General features: G+C 56.8%; 3 annotated features.

Moving 5' to 3' along the window:
- Positions 274–790: an enhancer, noted in NCBI's record as "H3K27ac-H3K4me1 hESC enhancer chrX:1367406-1367922 (GRCh37/hg19 assembly coordinates)". NCBI's record gives its function as "activates a minimal SCP1, AML or CMV promoter by ChIP-STARR-seq in primed H9 embryonic stem cells {active_cell/tissue: H9 hESC(primed)}" and the evidence as "EXISTENCE:reporter gene assay evidence [ECO:0000049][PMID:30033119]".
- Positions 274–801: a biological region, named in NCBI's record as "H3K27ac-H3K4me1 hESC enhancers GRCh37_chrX:1367406-1367922 and GRCh37_chrY:1317424-1317933".
- Positions 292–801: an enhancer, noted in NCBI's record as "H3K27ac-H3K4me1 hESC enhancer chrY:1317424-1317933 (GRCh37/hg19 assembly coordinates)". NCBI's record gives its function as "activates a minimal SCP1, AML or CMV promoter by ChIP-STARR-seq in primed H9 embryonic stem cells {active_cell/tissue: H9 hESC(primed)}" and the evidence as "EXISTENCE:reporter gene assay evidence [ECO:0000049][PMID:30033119]".

Raw genomic sequence — 2,144 nt, forward strand, 5'->3', positions numbered from 1 at the left:
GGACAAGAGCCTGTACTACCCACCCGTTGACTTGAGGGGGAAAGGGAGGGGAGGGGAATGGAGGGGAGAGGAGGAGAGGGGAGGGGAGGGGAATGGAGGGGGGAGAAGAAAAGAAAAGAGAAGAGGACAGCCTGTATTACCCACTCGTAGAGTTGAGGGGGGAGGGGAGGGGAGGGGAGGGGAGACTAGACGAGAGGAGGGGAGAGGAGAGGAGACGAGAGGAGAGGAGAGGAGACAGCCTGTACTACCCACCCCTTGAGTTGAGGGGTGCCGGAAAACCCCGGACTTTTCTTGTGGAGGTGGAGGGGAGGGATTCCAGGGTTAGTCACAGCTGTCACTTTTCTGCTTCTTGTTTCTGGCAGGGTTCACTGTCCTGGGTGCTTGATTCGTTACTAGCGATCCGGAGAAGAAAGGGTTAAAGGAATCCCTCCCCCACCCCTGGAATCCCTCCCCCACCCCTGGAATTCCAAAGGCGCAGCCAGGCTCGGATTTCCACGCGGGCGGTACTGAATTAACGGCTGGGCCCCGGCGCCTTTCTTTTAACTAATTACATCTGCAAGGGCCTTAATTCCAAACGAGGCGTCATTCCCGGAGACCAGAGGCGTTTGGAACTCAACGTATATACTTTGGGGCCGCGATCGAGGCGCGTCTCCCGTCTTCTGCCTCTGCGTGTCCTCAGCTGCAGAAAGGCCGCCCCTGAGCCTTCGGGTTTTCCTGGGGGGAGAGCTCATGAGGAACCCGTGTATGCCTAGCGTTCCATTATTGGAACGCTAAGCTTGTCTGAAGGCTGAAGGTCATCGCCAAGATCTGGTTTTTTACACCAAAAAAACTTGCAACCTCCGGCATAAATGGGCTTAAAGTGTCCGTGAGAGCTCATTAAACGACAGGCCCCGGGTCCCTGACCCCCCCCCCCACCAAGCCCTTGCTCTGGGACGCGCCTTGGACACGTCTGCAGATTCAGCCCTGGCCGGTTCAGCCCCCAGCGGCTGTCAGCAATGAAAGGGGTCCCAGAAAGGACTGGAAAAAGCAGATCACAACGGGAATCCCGAGGCAAGAATGCAGGAGCCAGGCTATCTGGCAAGCCTCAAATATAGCCAGCAGGTTGTGTTGATCCCGCATCACGGACGCTGTGAGCTGTGGAAGGAGCTTGGGATGAGGATTGCTGGGGATGCCTGCAGCTGTTTCTGCTGGAGCTGCCTCTGGGGCAGGAAGTGTCACGTTGCACCCCAGGAAGGTCTCTGTCCAGCGCAGACCACGTGGCCCTTCCTGGTGCTACTCAAGCCCTGGAGAGAGCCTCTAGGCTATTTGAGGTTCCTGGACTCCAGCTTTAGCCAGAGCCAGCTAGGAGGAGGCTGGGAGCTTGTTAAAGCCTGAAGGTAAGCCGGGTCAGGAAGTTGAGATTTGGAAACAGGCCTGATAGTCTGTGCTTCCTCTTCGGGGAAAAAGAGATGTTACAACGCGCTGGGCTCCACCCTCCCCCGAGAGCTTGCAGATTTCCGGCTTCTGAGGAGCTGCCCTACCACAGCTCCTTCTGTTGCTAGATAAGGGGTTGGGGTCACACCCTCCTCCCTTCTGTGGCTGGAGGGATGGTCTGTGGACAGAAGAATGTGTGGCCACAGGGAAAGTGAGCCAGTATCAGCAGAAAAACAAACTGAGGCTGGCACGGTGGCTCACTCCTGTCATCCCAGCACTTTAAGGCTGAGGTGGGCTGATCACGAGGTCATGAGTTCGAGACCAGCCTGGCCAACACAGTGAAACCCCTTCTCTACTAAAAATACAAAAATTAGCCGGGCATGGCGGTGGGTGCCTGTAATCCCAGCTACTGAGGAGGCTGAGGCAGGAGAATCGCTTGAACCCGGGAGGCGGAAGTTGCAGTGAGCCGAGATCGCACCACTGCCCTCCAGCTTGGATGACAGAGCGAGACTCCATCTCAAGAAAAAAAAGAAAAGGGAAAAGCAAACTGATATTGTCCCCAACATGCAGGATGGGGCATTCTCAACCTCGGCACTGCTGACATTGGGAGCGGGAGGATTCTCTGTGGTGGGGCTGTCCTGGGCACTGGTGGGTGTTGAGCAGCCGTCCTGGGATCCACACACCGGGGGCCAGGAGCAAACTTCCCAGGACTGACACCAAGGGTGTCCACA

This window comes from Homo sapiens, chromosome X (genome assembly GCF_000001405.40).
Source record: "Homo sapiens chromosome X, GRCh38.p14 Primary Assembly".
Lineage (NCBI taxonomy): Eukaryota > Metazoa > Chordata > Mammalia > Primates > Hominidae > Homo > Homo sapiens.